At 44.4% G+C, this 2320-nt stretch overlaps 1 pseudogene; it reads right to left on the bottom strand.

Moving 5' to 3' along the window:
• Nucleotides 1-939: 939 nt before the first annotated feature.
• LOC107987369 (MAGE-like protein 2) lies at nt 940-1629 on the bottom strand (annotated as a pseudogene).
• Between the last annotated feature and the right edge of the window lie 691 nt (nt 1630-2320).

The following is a 2320-nucleotide window of genomic DNA, read 5'->3' as shown; positions in this document are numbered from 1 at the left end:
GATGAGCACTTTTACATATGTTTGTTGGGTGCTTGTGTGTATGTCTTCTTTTGAAAAGTGTCCGTTCATGTCCTGTTGCCCACTTTTTAATGGAGTTACTTGCTGCTTGCTTGTTGATTTGTTTAAGTTCCTTATAGGTTCTGCATAATAGACCTCTGTTAGATGCGTAGTTTGTGAATATTTTCTTTCATTCTGTGGGTTATCTCTTTACTACCTTGATAGTTCCTCTTGTTGTGCAAAAGTTTTTCAGTTTAATTAAATCCCACTTGTCATTTTTTGTTTTAGTTGCAATTGCTTTTGAGGACTTAGCCATAAATTACTTGGCAAGGCCGTTATCAAAAAAAGTATTTCCTAGGTTTTTTCTAGGCGTTTTATAGCTTGAGATTTTTCATTTAACTCTTTAATCCATCTTAAGCTAATTTTTGTATTTGGTGAAATATGGAGGTCGAGTTTTATTCTTCTGCATATGACTAGCCAGTTATCCCCACATTATTTATTAAATAAAAAGTCTTTTTCCCATTGCTTACTTTTGTCAACTTTGTTAAAGATGTGATGGTTGCAGGCATGTGGCCTTAGTTTCTAGTACTCTAGTCTGTTCCATTGGTCTATGTGTCTGTTTTTCTACCAGTACCATGTTGTTTTGATTACTATAGTCTTCTAGTATAGTTTGAAGTCATGTACTATGATGTCTCTAGCCTATGTCTCTAGCCTTAGTATTGCTTTGGCTTGGCTATTCAGACTCCTTTTAGGTTCCATATAAATTTTAGATGTTTTCTATTTTGTGCAAAATGACATTAGTAGTTTGATAGGAAAAGCATTGAATCTGTAAATCGCTTTGAGCAGTATACTCATCTGCACGCAGATGATACTCCAGTGTATGTTCTGTGGTTGATGAGTGAAGTGTATTGTAATTCCAAATGGTCAAGCCAGACCCTGCCCCTACCCGGCTCCTCCTCTGCCAGAGCTCAAGACCTCTAGCCAGGGGCCCTCTGCAGCCACTGGGGATGGGGCTGAGGGCCGCTTCCCGCCCCCGTGCAGCTGCTGCAGGGCAGACCGCCTGGCTTGGCCGCAGCCACAGGGACATCTGGCCCTGCTTCGGAGATGTGGGGAGAGCGGGCACGCTCAGGAGTTGCCTGGAGGCTGCTGTCTGCACACAGAAGGCGGCTGCAGCTTGGGAGCCCAGGCGGGCTGGAGGTGCATGGCCTGGTCGGCCTCGGGATCGCCAGCGCGCCCAGCCTGAGGGCCCCCAGGCCATGCCTCCCACCCACTCCTCCACCTGAGAGAGATCGGGGCCGCTGTCATGGGCACTCGGCAGTCACCCCGTGTGGGGTTGATCGGCGGGTTCTCAGTTCTCGCCCCTGTGCAGCCGCCACCGCTGGGCAGAATGCCTGGCTTGGCCACAGCCACAGGGATACCTGGCCCTGGTTCTGCGAGACTGGGAGCACAAGCGGGCTCAGGGGTTGCCAGGCAGCTGCTGCCTGCACACGGAGGGTGACTGCAGCTTGTGCGCCCAGGCGGCGGAGCGTGGTCTGGGTGGCCTCTGGAATGCGTGCGCGCCAGGCCTGAGGGCCTCCCTGGTGGAGCCACCTGCCCCAGTCTTCCTCTGCTGGAGCCTGGAGCAGCCGGAATGTCCACTCTGCAGTCACAGGGGATAGAGTTAAGTTTTCTTATCCCACACATGCACACAAAAAGGTAACTATTCTGTGAGTTAATTAACATGTTCATTGACTTCGTTTTGGTAATCATTTCAGAATGTGCATATAAACGCATCACATGTACAATTTTTATTTCTCTATTACACCTCAGTAAAGCTGAAATAATTAACAGGATTGAAAGGATAAACCCACAGTTCTATAGTCACAGTTGGACACTTCAATACCTCATTTTAATTAATGGATAGAAAAACCAGACAGAAGCTTCATGAGAAATACAAGAGTTAAACAACAGTATAAGCCACTGAGAGCTAATACGCATATACAGCACAGTCCATCCAACAACAGCAGAATATACATTCCTTTCAAGTGTATATGGAAGTTCTCTAGGATGGGCCATATCTTCGTCCACAAAATATATCCTAATCATTTTTAAAAGTTTGAAATCATACAAAATATAATTTACAACCACAATGGAAGAAACAACAGATAAATAAGTGAAAACTGGAAAATTCATGAAAATGTGGAAATTAAACAATACAGTCTTCAACTACCAGTGAGTGAAAAAAATAAATCACAAGCAAAATTATAAAATATCTTGAGATAAATTAAAATAAAAACAAAACATACCAAAACTTATTGAATGCAGTGAAAGTAGAGTTCAAAGG

Source organism: Homo sapiens (genome assembly GCF_000001405.40).
Source record: "Homo sapiens chromosome 9 unlocalized genomic scaffold, GRCh38.p14 Primary Assembly HSCHR9_UNLOCALIZED_CTG3".
In the NCBI taxonomy this organism is placed as follows: Eukaryota; Metazoa; Chordata; class Mammalia; order Primates; family Hominidae; genus Homo; species Homo sapiens.
Note: the sequence above shows the minus strand (reverse complement) of the source record. Positions and strands in the feature narration are given on the sequence as shown.